The sequence below is a fragment of the Homo sapiens genome, chromosome 22, assembly GCF_000001405.40.
Source record: "Homo sapiens chromosome 22, GRCh38.p14 Primary Assembly".
NCBI classification, from domain to species: Eukaryota; Metazoa; Chordata; class Mammalia; order Primates; family Hominidae; genus Homo; species Homo sapiens.
Genome location: NC_000022.11, coordinates 25,232,961 through 25,248,666, shown reverse-complemented (window position 1 = coordinate 25,248,666; position 15,706 = coordinate 25,232,961).

Genomic DNA, 15,706 nt, shown 5'->3' with positions numbered 1-15,706 from the left:
GTTCCCACTAGCCAGATCTGGGACAATTTGAACATCAAAATTAATAGTGTTCGTCAGGGCTGGCTTTGTGGGCCTGCAACCAATAGAGTCACACAGGACTTGGCGCTCAGAATTTTAATAATGTACAGTCCCTGCCTTAAAACCCTTTATCATTTTACCTTTGAATTTGTGGTTTCTAGGTGAAGTCTGATGGCACAATGGAGCATGCTGAGAGCCTGGAGCCTCTGATGACACATGGATCTGAGGCCTGTTGATGCCCACTCCCTACCCCCGGTCCCGTGGTCCCTGCCTGGCTTTGCATTCCCTTCCTTGCTTCAGAGCAGTGACTGGGTCACCTTGGCTGGGGGAGGCCCACGTTTTGTCATCACCTTCCACCCTGGCAGAAGCCTAGGCATGGATAGGTGCAGGAGGGTTCAGGGCTGGGCCCATATGCCAGGGCACTGTCAACCTAAAAATAAGCCATCAAAAAAAAAATCTCATAACTATTTTATCTGTGAGTAAGTAAAAAGGATAATAACCTGGGATGCACAGTTATAGCAAGCCACAGATGCATCCAAAGAGGGGAGGGTAAAGGGAAGCCTTTATCGGTAAAAGTGAGAAGTTCATGTAAGCTGCTTAGAAACAGTTTATTGGTACCAGAGGCTCAAAGCCAGAGTTAGTAGTAGATCACTGGTACAGAAGCCATTATCAGGCAAGTCTTCTTTTGAGATCATCTTATCTGAATTTCTGCAGTCCTAAAAAATGTCTAGTATGAAATCGTGGCTCCGCGCAGTGGCTCACGCCTGTAATCCCAGCACTTTGGGAGGCCAAGGCGGGCGGACACGAGGTCAGGAGATCGAGACCATCCTGGCTAACACCGTGAAACCCCGTCTCTACTAAAAATACAAAAAATCAGCCAGGCGTGCTGGTGTGGCTACTCAGGAGGCTGAGGCAGGAGAATGGCGTGAACCCAGAAGGCAGAGCTTGAAGTGAGCCAAGATCGTGCCACCGCACTCCAGCCTGGGCGACCAAGCAAGACTCCGTCTCAAAAAAACAAAAAAAAGAAATCGTTTCACAGAAATATGTGCATGTGTGTGAAACATGCAAGCCGTGCAAAGCATAAGATGCATGAAGGAGATGAGAGAATTTCTTGTGGGTTATTGCCTGGAAACAGCTTTTAGCTTTAGACATGCAAGGATGAGCTCCTCTCCTTTGTGCTCTCCTGGCTCCAATTTGTCTGGGTCTGAGTAGAGTGGACTTTATCCTGTATCTGCAACTTTCATAGCACCATGGGGTGATCAAGAAGGCAGTTTCCCTCCACTAATCTGACAGTAGCACAGCACATTCTGCAGGCCATTCAGCTAGGGCCTCTTACCAGTGCCATCCAACAATCCAGAACAAACCAGCATGGAGGGTACAGTTCCCTGGGCATTGTCCCTTTGCATCAAATGGAAAATCCAGTTTATGAGAAGAGGAAATTAGCTTCCTTGTCCCCACCCCGGGCCCTGCATTTTCATTTGTGCTGGGCCCCACAAATTATGCAGCTAGCCCTGATAGTAGTAATGGATTGTAACACACAAAATAGGAATACTGCGGGTAGTAAATACACCCCAAATTCCCCCCACTTTCTCCTCCCTGAACTAACAAAAGGAAGCAAGGAGGTTAGGATTCACCTGTATCTGTGTGTGCATGCGTGTATGCGAGTGTATGGGTGCTCACACATGGGTACACAGAAAAAAGAAATCTAAAAAAATTTCTCTCCTATTTGTGACCCCATATCTTTTTTTTTTTTTTTTTTTTGAGACAGGATCTTGCTGTGTCACCCAGGCTGGAGTGCAGAGGTGCAATCTCGGCTCACTGCAACCTCCACCTCCCAGGTTCAAGAGGTTCTTGTGCCTCAGCCTCCCGTGTAGCTGGGACTACAGGTGCACACCACCATGCCCAGCTAATTTTTGTATTTTTTGTAGAGCCAGGGTTTTACCACATTGGCCTGGCTGGTCTCGAAGTCTTGGCCTCAAGAGTTCTACGTTTCTAACAGAGTTCCATTTCTAATAGAGTTGCTACATATAATACATGTCAAATATTTATCTAATACATATGCACATACTACATGCATATGCATTTGTACGGGTGTGTTTTAGGCACCCAGGTCTCACTGCTTGCCAGATAACAAAGCCCTTCCCTGTGGACCTCTACTTCCCCATCTATAAAATGGGAGACTTCATCCCCTTCATCCCTAACCGTTTATCTGAGTCTGTCTCATGTAGAAGGTGGAGGCAAACACCTACTTTGCATGATTTGTCCTAAATTTTCACCTCCCTGTCTGCAATCCTGCTGGAAATCCCATTAGTGACCCCATCCACTATCCTCTTTGGAAATGTCCTTATCCCTAGTATGAATATCCCTAATTCCCTACAGTTTTCAACCTGGGGTGATTTTGCTCCCAGGCGATACTTGCCAATGTTTGGGCACATTTTTGGTCATCACGTGTTGGGGGTTGCTACTGGCCAACTGGCTGGTAGAGGCCAGGGGTGCATTTAATATCCTGCAGTGCACAGGGCAGCCCCCACCACACATCAAGAGGAGTGAAGTTGATTGCGAGGCCGAGGAGGGCAGATCGCTTGAGCTCAGGAATTCAAGATGAGCCTGGCCAACATGGAGAAACACCATCTCTACAAAAAATAAAAAAGTTAGCAAGGCGTGGTGGTCCATCTGTGGTCTCAGAGACTCAGGAGGTTGAGGCAGGAGGATCACCTGAGCCCAGGGAGGTTGAGGCTGCAGTGAACCCTGATGGTGCCACTGTACCCCAGCCTAGGTGATGTGAGACCCTGTCTCAAAAAAAAAAATGGTGAAGTTGAGAATGAGTAGCCCTGCCTAGAATGAAAGCATTTATTGGATACTTTTCTTTACACTCTCTAGACTGAGATGCTTGGAGCGTTCTGGTGGTACCCAAAGTAGGAGGAAGCATTACAAGTTTAAAAATGGAGAAATTATGTTTTTATGCAGCAGCTGGGCACCAGGCTATGGATTCATCACTTTGTAGGCCACATCTCCTGCCAAGCAAGCCACATGCACCCTGTTTCCAGATGAGAATGTTGAGACAAGGTTGGTTAAAACACGCAGTTCTGAAGAGTTATTGTAACAGATTCTGGAGTCTGTGCTCTGGAAGGGAGGAATGGGGGTGGTCACTAACTCGAGGAGAGGGAAGCATTTGTGCCTGAACAATGAGAGTTGTTTTCAGATGAAGAAATCGGCACATGTTGAGAGAACAAGACAAGCTTTTTATCCGAGTGCTTGATTTTCATTACAATGACAGGTGTCTCCATGGCTTCGTGCTTGGAAGTGACTAATTCTAAGGAGTCTTTCCTGTTGGTCAAGTCCTAGTCTCTGGGTTTGACTACTCATTCATTCGTTTGATCTTTCATTCATTCAATAAATACCTATCAAGCCTCAACTATATACTGTGCTCTGTGGATATATTGAATGCAAAATCAGGCCTGGCCCTTGCCCTCATAGAGCCTAGGAAAAGAGATGGAAATGAAATCAAAGAACTAAACAAATACATATAGAGCAACATGTGTGATTAGGGCTTCCAAAGAGAGGTGAGCAAAGCAGAAAATTGCACATCAGAGGACTGGCCTGGCCATGGAAGCCACGGAGGATGCTGGGCTGAGATCTGAAGACTGCATAAGAGGGATACTTACGTCAGGTGTAGTAGGCTCACACCTGTAATCCTAGCACTTTAGGAGGCTGAGGCAGGCAGATTGCTTGATCTGTCAGGAGTTTGAGACCAGCCTAGCCAACATTGTGAAACCCTGCCTCTACTAAAAAATACAAAAATTAGCTGGGCATGGTGGTGTGCACCTATAATCCCAGCTACTCAGGAGGCTGAGGCAGGATAACTGATTGAGCCCAGGAGGCGGAGGTTGCAGTGAGCCAAGATCATGCCACTGCACTCCAGCCTGGATGACAGAGCGAGATTCTGTCTCTAATAATAATAATAATAATAATAATAATAATAATAATAGGGATAATTAGGCAAACTGGGGGAAAATATGTTTCAGGAAGAGAAAACAGCATGTGCCAGAGTCCTGTGGCTGGAGGACTCATCAAGGGTACACAGGACAGAAAAAAAAGTTTATATACATGGTAGGAAGCTAAAGAGACAAAGCAAGGGCTGGTCCACACAGGTCTTGTGAGTTAGTAATTAGGATTTGTATCCAGAGGGTGAAGGGGAGCCATGGCAGGTTTAAGCAGGAGGGTCTCATGATCAGATTTGCATTTTGTGATCCCTCTGACTTCTGCGTGGGATTTTTAGGGGGACAGAGGGGGTGCAGACAGACCTGTGAGAAGTGCTGCTGGGGTTGTGTGAACAAGAGAGGATGCGGGCCTGGATCAGGGGATTGGTGAGAAGTGTGTGAATTTAACAGAAATTCATTAGCTTAGATGGGTGATGGAAGTTCAGGAGAGCTGCATGAAGAACTCATACACCCTTCTTTTGGGATCTCCTTCAGGGCTGCCCTGCCAAGGCTCCCAGATGCCTGTGACTATCACCAATCAACTCCCCTGCTCGAGACGGGGAGCAAAGATTTGGTTTTAGGAAGCCACTATTGTGGTGGACTGTGGCTCCCACCTGGGCCTGGCTTCCAGCCCGGATTCCCTGCAGAGCCTGTCCAGGGCAGCCACAGGACGCCTGGACTCTCAGCCCTGCACACTCAGGGGGCTTCAAAGGCCACAGCAAAGGGGAGGCCCAGAAAGAACTATTTCAGGCTTAGTTTTTTCTTTTTCTTTTTTTTGTTTGAAACGGAGTCTCACTCTGTTGCCCAGGCTGGAGTGCAGTGGCGCAATCTCCGCTCATTGCAAGCTCCGCCTCCCGGGTTCACACCATTCTCCAGCCTCAGCCTCCTGAGTAGCTGGGACTACAGGTGCCCGCCACCACACCTGGCTAATTTTTTGTGTTTTTAGTAGAGACGGGGTTTCACGGTGTTAGCCAGGATGGTCTCGATCTCCTGACCCGGTGATCCACCCGCCTTGGCCTCCCAAAGTGCTGGGATTACAGGCATGAGCCACCGCGCCAGGCCAGGCTTCCTATTTTTAAAGCCGGGGTCAGGGTGCCCTGCCCACCACCAACATTTCCAGTACTGGAAGCTTCAAAAACTTCACCTCCCGCCAGCCCAGCACCAGAGACAGGCTCTGTGCACAGGGCTGTGCAGTGACCATGGGCAGCCAGGAGAGAGGCCTCCAGCATGGTTGGAGGAGGTTTTGGAATGCTGTGGTGCAAGGAAAGCCAGAGAGACTGACCACCCTGTGTGGGATAGAGCCCTGGGTTCAAACCCAGCTTTTTCATTTTCCACCAGCATGGCCTTGAGCAAATCATCTCCCCCTTCTGAGCCTCAGGGGCTCCCCTAGAAAATGGGAATAAGCCACAGGTGGTCATAGGTGGAAGCGTGAGGACATCAGCCAGCAATCACTTAATAAATGCCTCCTGTGAGCCTGTCATGGTACGCGGTGGTGGTAATGCAATTGTGAACAAGATGTGCTTCACTGAGCTTTCATTCTAACAGGGAAACCAACATTAAAGAAAAATTGAAGGCTGGGGGCCGTGGCTCATACCCATAATCCCAGTGCTTTGGGAGACCAAGACGGGAAGATTGCTTGAGCTGAGCCCAGGAGTTTGAGACCAGCCTGGGCAACATAGCAAGACCCCACCTCTATAAAAAATAAAAATAAAAAATTATCCGGGCATGATGGTGCACACCTGTAGTCCCAGCTACATGGGAGGCTGAGCCAGGAGGATCACCTGAGCTCAGGAGATCAGGGCTCAGTGAGCTGTGATGGCACCACTGCTCTCCAACCTGGGCAAGAGTGAGACCCTATCTCTAAAAAGAAGAATATAGTTTGCCTCCTGAATATATAATAATGATGAATATAAAGTATGCCTGGAAGAAAAGGAGGATTTGGCCAATATGTGGACCAATCTTTTGGACAGAAACTGCTATCTCGGGAAATGGCAGCGTGAGCCACCTGGTTGATGTTTCCTAATTCCTGGATTAATGGAGAGAAAGAAAATTTATGCCCAATCCACTCAATGTTGCCTTCTTTAGTGAAAAAATAATAATAACTTTATGAAGAAACAGCATTAACTATAAACTGGTCTTGGAAAATGAACATATCACCCACCTATTTTCATGAAAGAAAGATGCAGAAAGGCGAACAATTTAAAGAAATACAAAACCCAAAGGCAATGGTAGCCAGATGCAATGGCTCACACCTATAATCCCAGCACTTTGGGAGGCTGAGGCAGGAGGATCACTTGAGGCCAGGAGTTCAAGATCAGCCTGGACAACATAGCAAGACCCTATCTCGGCAAAGCAATGGTTCTCAAACTTGGGTTTACAGTTGGGACACCCCTCCCTCCCAAATTGTGATTCAGTAGATCTAGGGTAGGACTGAGAACTTGCATTTCTTTTTATTTATTGAGACCCGTTCTCACTCTTTTGCCCAGGCTGGAGTACCATGGTGTAATCATAGCTCACTGCAGCCTTGAACTCCTAGGCTCAAGTGATCCTCCCACCTCAGCCTCCTGAGTAGCTAGGACTACAGTTGTGCACCACCACGCCCAGCTAATTTTTTTTTATTTTTTATAGAGATGGGGTCTTACCATGTTGTCCAGGCTGGTCTCGAATTCCCGGCCTCAAGCGATCCTCCCACCTCAGTTTCCCAAAGTGTTGGGATTATAGGCCTCAGCCACGGCTCCTGATCAGAACTTGCATTTCTAACAAGACCCCAGGTGATGCCAGTGATGCTGGTTTGTGGCTCACACACTGAGAACCGCGGCTTCAGGGCAGCTGGGAATGCCTTTGGGGATTCACTAATATGAGCCCTGCTTCACTGAGTCTCTTTCCTCACAAGGGGAGCCAGGAAGCCCTCGACAGCCTCTTAGGGGCAGAAGGGTCTGTTTTTCAGCTTCGTGCTGGGAGGAACTTGGGGCAGCCTCTGAGCTCCTTCCCATCCACATCCCCAGCCAGCTGCTTCATCACTTGGGAGGTGATGGTCAACCTGCCCAGCACCTCAGTCTCACCTTGATAGAAACCAATTCCATTGCTGTAGCAGAAGATGGGTGGAGTGGAAATCCATATTCCAGGGGATTCTGAGGCAGGCATCCCATCCTGAGCACGCATGGTTCTCCCCACTGGATGAGATCTTATCTGAGAGAGAGAACGTGCTCCTCTCCATCTGTGTTTTTTTTAAACCCTCCCCACCACTCCGCTCACCTGGGTTGACTCTGCTTTGAAGACTCACTCCTGGTGGTTTTCTTATTTCAGCCCAGGGTGCACCAAAAAAGCAAGAAAAGTTTTGTTCCTCCCATGTCAAGGTCCTGAGACTCACTCCACACACAGAATGATCCTGTTTTCCAGAAAAACTTGAAACACCCCAGAGGCCAGCGATGGCCAAGGAAGTGCAGAAAATCCCTCTCCTAGGGCAGGTGACTGTGTTTTCAGCTTCTCCCGAGAGCAGTGACTGCATCTCCACTTCTACTTTCCAAGGCCTCCTCACAGATGGGGCATTTTTTAGAGTCAGTGCCAGTCAGGAGTGAGAGGGACCGAACACAGCACCCTTCGAGGACTCATGATGATGAAAAGAGAAACTTCCTGGAAATTAAAAAAACAAACAAACAAACAAACAGAAAAGCACAAAGCAAACAGTAACAATTGCCTAAATGGCCCAGACCACAAACTCACCATTTTTAATAATCTGGCATGTTTTCCAGTCTTTTTTCTATGTGCATACTTTGAAAAAATTATGTAACTCATATATCAAAATCATTAGCGTTTTGTTTAGAAAATTGGATAGCAGCTATGTTAAATCTTTCTGAAAAAACAAACAAACATTATGTTTATTTGTGTCTATTGCCAGATAAGCTAAAGGAAATGTCAGCAAACCATGGCTTGCAGGACAAATCTGGCCGAATACTTCATTTTATACAACCCACAAGCTAAAAATAGTTTTTACGTTTTTCAACGGTTGGGGAAAAAATCACAGGAAGAAACTCGCGTGTTCTCACTCATATGTGGGAGTTTAAAAAGTGGATCTCACGGAGATAGAGAGTAGACTGGTGATTACAAGAGGCTGGGAAGGGAAGGTGGGGAGGGAAGGATGAAAGAGAAGTTGGATAATGGTACAGAAATACAGTTAGGTAGAAGAAATAAGTTCTTGTATTCAGGCCGGGCACTGTGGCTCATGCCTGTAATCTCAGCACTTTGGGAGGCAGGGGCAGGTGGATCGCTTGAGCTCAGGAGTTTGAGACCAGCCTGGGCAACATGGTGAAACCCTGTCTCTACAAAAAATACAAAAATTAGCCAGGCGTGGTGGCACGTGCCTGTAATCCCAGCTACTCAGGAGGCTGAGGTGGGAGGCTTGCTTGGGCCCAGGAGGTGGAGGTTGCAGTGAGCCAAGATTACGCTACTGCACTCCAGCCTGGACGACGCAGCGAGACCCTGCCTCAAAAAAAAAAAAAAAAAAAAAAAGTTCTTGTATTCAATAGTACAGCAGGGAAATTATAGTTAACAATAACATCTTATAGATTTCAAAATACCCAGAAGAGGAAAATTGTGTTGGGTAATGTCCCCAACACAAAGAAAAGATAAAAGATAAATGTTTGAGGGGATGGGTATCCTGATTACCCTGACTTGATCATTATATATTGTATACGTGTATCAAAATATCACATCTACCCCAAAATATCAATATATTTTAAAATGTAAAAAGTAATAAAAAATCTGTGTAATACATGACAATGAAATTCAAATTTCAGCGTTCATGAAGTTTTACAGAGGTACAGCCACACCCATTCATTTACCTACTGCTGCTTCTACGTGATGCCAGCAGGGTTGAGTAGTTGCCAGAGACCATATTGCCCCCCAAAATGTGAAATATTTACTACCCAGTTCTTTACAGAAAAAGTTTGCCAACACCTACTCAAAGTCTGGTCGGTGGTAATTGTTTGTTACCAATCTGCGATGAGATAAACACAGAAATTGAGAGTAAGACTTTAGAAACTTTTGGCTGGGCATGGTGGACTCACCCCTGTAATCCCAGCATTTTGGGAGGCTGAGGCAGGAAGATCTCTTGAGGCCAGGGGTTCAAGCCCAGCCTGGGCAACATAGTGAGACACCCCCATCTCTTAAAAAAAATAAGACTTTGAATAATTTGACAGTCTGTTTTGTTAATTAAAAAATTTAAAATTGGGGATGATTGCTGTATTTTCATTTTGCATTTCTGATAATTGATTTTTGTTGTATTCTACTAACTTTTCAGTCCATAAGGTATCAAAAAAGGTGAAACACAAAAACTGATCCCTCACTACAGATAATGTGCATTTTAAAAACATTCTTCTAAAAACCAAATATTGTTCTGTAACTTGCCTGGTTTTCTTTTGAGATGGAGTCTCACTCTGTCACCCAGACTGGAGTGCAGTGGCACAATCTCAGCTGGCTGCAAGCTCCACCTTCTGGGTTCACACCATTCTCCTGCCTCAGCCTCCCGAGTAGCTGGGACTACAGGTGCCCACCACCACGCACGGCTAATTTTTTGTATTTTTAGTAGAGACGGGGTTTCACCGTGTTAGGCAGGAAGGTATCGATCTCCTGACCTCGTGATCCGCCCGCCTCAGCCTCCCAAAATGCTGGGATTACAGGCATGAGCCACCGCGCCTGGCCTTTTTTTTTTTTCTTTTTTTACCTCCGGGAATGTTTCTGAGTTATGCCCGTGTTGAATATGTAAGGTCTTGTGTATCCGTTTTCTCTGTTGCATGATGATATTATTGCATGCTGATTATTTACTCATTCCCCTTCTCATGGACATGTAGGTTATTTCTAGTTTTTTGCTAGCGCAGACAATGCTGTTCTGAGCATCCTGAACCTATCTCCTGGTACAGATGTGGGAGAGATTTTCCAGGGTAAACACCCAGTGAAGAAATAGCTGGGTCTCCAGATTTCTGCATCTTCAATATTACTAGAATCTGTCAAATTCTAATTTTTGCAAAGTGATGGCACCAATTTACATCACTGCAGAAGCGCTTCAGAGTTTTTGTTCCCCAATCCTTGCAAACATTTAGTATTGGCTGATGTCTGAGTTTGGGTTTAAAATTATTAGCTTTGAGCAAGCTTCAGACCTTTGTAAGCATTGAGGGGGAGGCGAGAGGTTTTACCTTTTCCCCCTCCCTCCCGCTGTATCTCCAATTTCCTCCAGTTTCACCTGCCTGCCCACCCCCCGCCCCGCCCCCGCCACCCCCTCTGAGCTGACCTGGCCTGGGGCTGCGCCTGGACCTGATTTTCATAAAACCTCCCTCCCAGTTCTCATGCACACCCCACGGCTCAGCATCTTGGGTTCTCTCAGCTCCACTAACCAGGGGCTGCCCTAGGAGGGAGCAGGACTCCCTGGCAACAGGTGACAAGGTAGGCTTGACAGGCAGGCTCCTTTGCTTTGTGTCTCTGGTACATGGAGCAGTGGCAGCGTGGAAGAGATTCCCCAATCACTATTCAATGAATGAATGAAGAGCGAAAAGGCAACTAGGCTGTCATTTATTGAGCAACTACTTCGTGTCAGCTCGGTGACCAGGTGTCTGAGAATTACCAATGGAATAAAAACCCCCGTATGGCCCTTGGTCAGATGAGGAAAGAGAGTCTCAGAGAGGTAAGGTCATTTGCCTGCCGTCACAGGGTCAATGAGTAGGAGATCTGGGACTTGACTCCAGTCCTGCCTGACTCCAGGGGCCTCTGGCTCCACTGCCTGACTTGGGGCTGTTTTCACTGCCTCTCTTAGGGCTGCCCTGTGGCTTCCTACCTGTTTCTGCCAGACTCCAGCCCACTTCCCAGGGACTAGTCTGGCTGCTGAGTCCGGCTCTCCAACACCAAGAACTAGTTGCCCTGAAACCCAAGGCTCATACAGATGGTCAGGAGGGCCCTCCGCAGGCTGCTTAGAGACAGCGTCTGTCCACCTTCATAAGCCCACCTGCTCCAGCTGCCCGTCCCTCCACCACATCAGGCTAGGGGATGAGGTTGGGGCCTGGCTGAGTGGCTGCATCTGGGATTGAGCTGACCCTGGGGACATGACAGTGAGGAGGAGAGGAAGGAGAGAAGGTGGAGGTTGGAGAAAAGTGGGGCTGCAGAGCAGGAGAAACCATAGGACCAGGAGGAAGAGCAGGGAAAGGGCAAAGAAGAAGAGGGAAGCAGAGGAAGGGCGGCAGGAGGAAGATGGGAGTGCTCAAGAAGTTTATAGGAGCCATTGGTTTGGACTGAGCTCCTGCCCTAGGCCCCACAGACCAAACCAAAATGGAGTTGCTCGTGCTTACGTGCCACACCAGCAAGCCCAAACCAAGGTGTTTGCCCTGCCTTCCAGTTTCAGCCGATAGGAGAACGAAGTTCCCTAGGATTTAACCTTTACAACGAAAGTAACTTTGAAAGGACCATTCTGCTTTATTGTTCTCTGTGTCTTCTTCCTTCTGCCCATTGCCATCTGTAAAGAAATCTCTTCTGTTCAACTCATCTGGACACACATTCTACTTTACAGAATGAGGTGTTGCCCAATTCTAGAATGGCAAATAGAAGTCATTTAAGGGCTGGGCGCGGTGGCTCACGCCTGTAATCCCAGCACTTTGGGAGGCCGAGTCGGGTGGATCATCTGAGGTCAGGAGTTCAAAACCAGCCTGACCAATATGGTGAAACCCCCTTTCTACTAAAAATACAAAAATAAAAATAGCCGGGGGTGGTGGCATGTACCTGTAGTCCCAGCTACTCCGAAGGCTGAGACAGGAGAATTGCTTAAACCCGGGAGGTGGAGGTTGCAGTGAGCTGAGATCGTGCCACCGCACTCCAGCCTGGGTGACTGAGCGAGATTCCATCTCAAAAACAAAAACAAAAAGAAACAAACAAACAAAAGTCAATTAAGGCCTTTAAACTAAATTTGTTGTAATTTTGTGACAGGAATGAATGAGTTGGTGAATGAACATGTGGAAGGGGTTTCCATCCAGGCCATCTGGCAAACTCCTACTCCTCTTACAAAACCCAAGCCTCCTCCTCCCGGGAGCCTTCCCTGCTCCCACCCCGACCCCCACAGCCACCTCTGAGCACTTCTCACACTGCGCTCCTTTACCCAGGGCCTTGCTGTGTGCCTGGCTCTGCCCTAAACTTCACAAGCGTCATGTCCTGGACTCTTCACTGCAATCCTCTGAGCGGCACTATTATTGCTCCCATTTTAGAGGAAACTGAAGCACGGAGCGGTTGCTCTGTCACCTACCTGAGTGGCGGGCTTTGCTCCGCGGCTTCCAGTGACATCGTGAGTGAGAAAGCGCTTCGGAATCTTGGAATAACCTTCCTAAGGCAAAGAATGGTTGGTGGATTTGATTTTTTTTTCTCCCCCTCCCAACAAGTTTTGGAAAGCAAGGCTGCAGAAAGACACGGGATTCTAGAGGCCTGCCCAGGCACTGTCAGCGGCCCAGGGGCAAGACTGTCTGAGCTCCAGGCCCTCTGAGCCTCAGTTTCCCTACTGAGGGAGGCGAGGCGCGGAGGCCCCGCCCAGCGTGGGCTGCCCGCCTGTGACTGACGGCGCTTGCCTCCAATCAGGGCCTGCGCAGCTCGGGCCGCCCGGCCAGGAGCCCCGAGGATGACGTTTTGCTGACACCTGGTGGCTGCAGGGGAAGTGTCGCCTTGAGGACGGGAAGAAAGGGCCAGCGAGGACGGACAGGGCACTCTCTAGGAAAGTCACCAGGAAGGCTGGAAATCCGAGGTCAAGGCTTTGGCAGGGTCGGGTCCCTCTGGGGGCTGCGAGTGATAATCTTCTCCGTGTTTCTCTCCTAGCCTCTGGTGGGTGGCCGGCAATCTGCGGCACTCTTTGCCTTGCAGAAACATCACCCCATCATCTTCACATGACATTCTCCCTGTGTGCGTGGCTGTCTCCAAGTTTCCCATTTTCATAGACACCAGTCACATTCCATTAGGGGCCCACACTACTCCAGTGTGATCTACTCTTAAAATAACTAATTACATTTGGCCGGGCATGGTAGCTCACACCTGCAGTCACAGCACTTTGGGAGGTGGAGACGGGAGGATTGCTTGAGGCCAAGAGTTCGAGACCAGCCTGGGCAACACAGTAAGACACCCCCCCACCCCCCAAATCTCTACATAAAATAAAAAATAAAAAAGTTAGCAGGTGTGGTCACACACGCCTGCGGTCTCAGCTTCTCCAGAGGTTGAGGCAACAGGATCACTTGAAAGCCCAGGAGTTGGAGGCTGCAGTGAGATATGATTGTGCCACCACACTCCAGCCTGGACAACGGAGTGAGACCCTATCGCATAAAAAAAACTGCACTTGCAATGACCCAGTTTCCAAATAAGGTCACATTCTCTAAGGTATTGAGGATTAGGATTTCAGCATATGAATTTGGGGGGTTCTCATTCAACCCATAATAATCACCATTGCTCTACTCTCCAACTATTACAATCCCCCCAGAGTGAGAGCTTCTAGGGGCAGGGAATCTGTTTTACTTTGTATCCCTACTCTGCCCAGTTCCAGGAGTGAAATAGGCACTCAATAGATATTGATTGAAGAATCAATGAAGAAATGGATGAGAGTAACATTTATTTAGCACTTACTAATTTCCACCTTTATGATAATCATTTTAACCACTTTAACAGGGTTTTCCATGTGCCACCCCCCCCCCCATCTCTGCATTCCAGCCACCACCGTGCCTTTGTGGAGTTTCTCAGAGCTACCAGGCTCCTCCCACCACAGGGCCTTTGCACGTGCCACTGTCATCAGGACACTCTTCTTTGGCCTCTTTACCCTTGCAACTTCTACTCCTCCTTGAGATCTCAGCTCGAGTCTTTTCCTCAAGGAAGTAGCTTAGACTTGTGCAGATTCTGTTTTTTAACTTTTATTTTAGGTTCGGGGATACATGTGCAGGTTTGTTATAAACTAGTGCCATGGGGGTTTGCTGTAGATTATTTCATCACTCAGGTACTAAGCCAAGTATCCAAATAGGCACTCAATGGGTATTGATTGAAGAATGAATGAAGAAATAGATGATAGTAACATTTATTGAGCACTTACTGGTTTTTTTTAACATTATTTATTTATGTATTTATTCATTTATTTTTGAGATGGAGTCTCACTCTGTCGCCCAGGCTGGAGTGCAGCGGCTCGATCTCGACTCACTGCAACCTCTGCCTCCTGGGTTCAAGCAATTCTTCTGCCTCGGCCGCCCGAGTAGCTGGGATTACAGGTGCCCGCCACCACACCCGGCTAATTTTTTGTATTTTTAGTAGAGATGAGGTTTCACCGTGTTAGCCAGGATGGCCTCGATCTCCTGACCTCATGATCTGCCCACCTCCGCCTCTCAAAGTGCTGGGGTTACAGGCATGAGCCACCTTGCCCTGCCTTTTTTTTTTTTTAATATTTTAAGTTCTGGGATACATGTGCAGAGCGTGCAGGTTTGTTACACAGGTATACATGTGCCATGGTGGTTTGCTGCACTCATCAACTCGTCATCTAGGTTTTAAGCCCTGCATGCATTTGGTATTTGTCCTAATGCTCTCTCTCCCCTTGTCCCCCACCCCATGACAGGCCTCTGTGTGTGATGTTCCCCTCCCTATGTCCATGTGTTCTCATTGTTCAACTCCTACTTATGAGTGAGAACATGTGGTGTTTGGTTTTCTGCTTCTGTGTTAGTTTGCTGAGAATGATGGTTTCCAGCTGCATCCATGTCCCTGCAAAGGACATGTACTCATTCTTTTTTATGGCTGCATAGTATTCCATGGTGTATATGGAGCACTTATTGGTTTCTACCTTTATGATAATCATTTTAATCACTTTAGCTCATTCAACAAGGTTTTCCACTTTTCCAAATGTGAGGGGATGCTTCTAAGTGGAGTCCTGAAAGGTCAAGAATACCTAAAACATTCCTGAAGAATCATATTATAGGGCAGTGGTCCCCAAATGTTTTGGCACCAGGGATCGATTTTGTGGAAGACAGTTTTTCATGGGCTGTGGGCAGGGGACACATTAGATTCTCATTGGAGCATGCAACCTAGATCCTTTCCATGTGCAGTTCACAATAGGGTTTGCACCCCTATGAGAATCTAATGCTGCCGCTGGTCTGACGGGAGGCGGAGCTCAGGCTGTAATCCCCACCTCCTGCTGTGCAGCCCCCATTCCAGGCCACCGGAGGCCCGGGGGTGGAGGGCCTATAAAATCACCCCACCTGTGGGGAAGGGGATAGATCAGCAAGGTGACACTGCACCACAGTGCAGGAAATGGACCCCTTCATGAATGATTTTAGGACACTGGACGTCCAAAGTGGAAAAAAAAGAAAAAGAAACTGAATCTCTACCATACACTACATACAAGAATCAGCTCCAGAGGGATTAAGAACGCAAATGTGAAGAGCAAAAGTTTTAAAAGTTTAGGGGAAGAAAATATATTGGAGAATTTCTTTGTAACCAGGGATTAGAAAGAATTTCTTCAAGGTTGGCCAGGGGCAGTGGCTCATGCCTGTAATCCCAGCACTTTGGGAGGCTGAAGCAGGCGGATCACAATTTCAGGGGTTCAAGACCAGCCTGGCCAACGTGGTGAAACTGCGTCTCTACTAAAAATACAAAAATTAGCCAGGCATGGTGGTGCATGCCTGTAATCCCAGCTACTAAGGAGGCTGAGGCAGGAAAACTGCTTC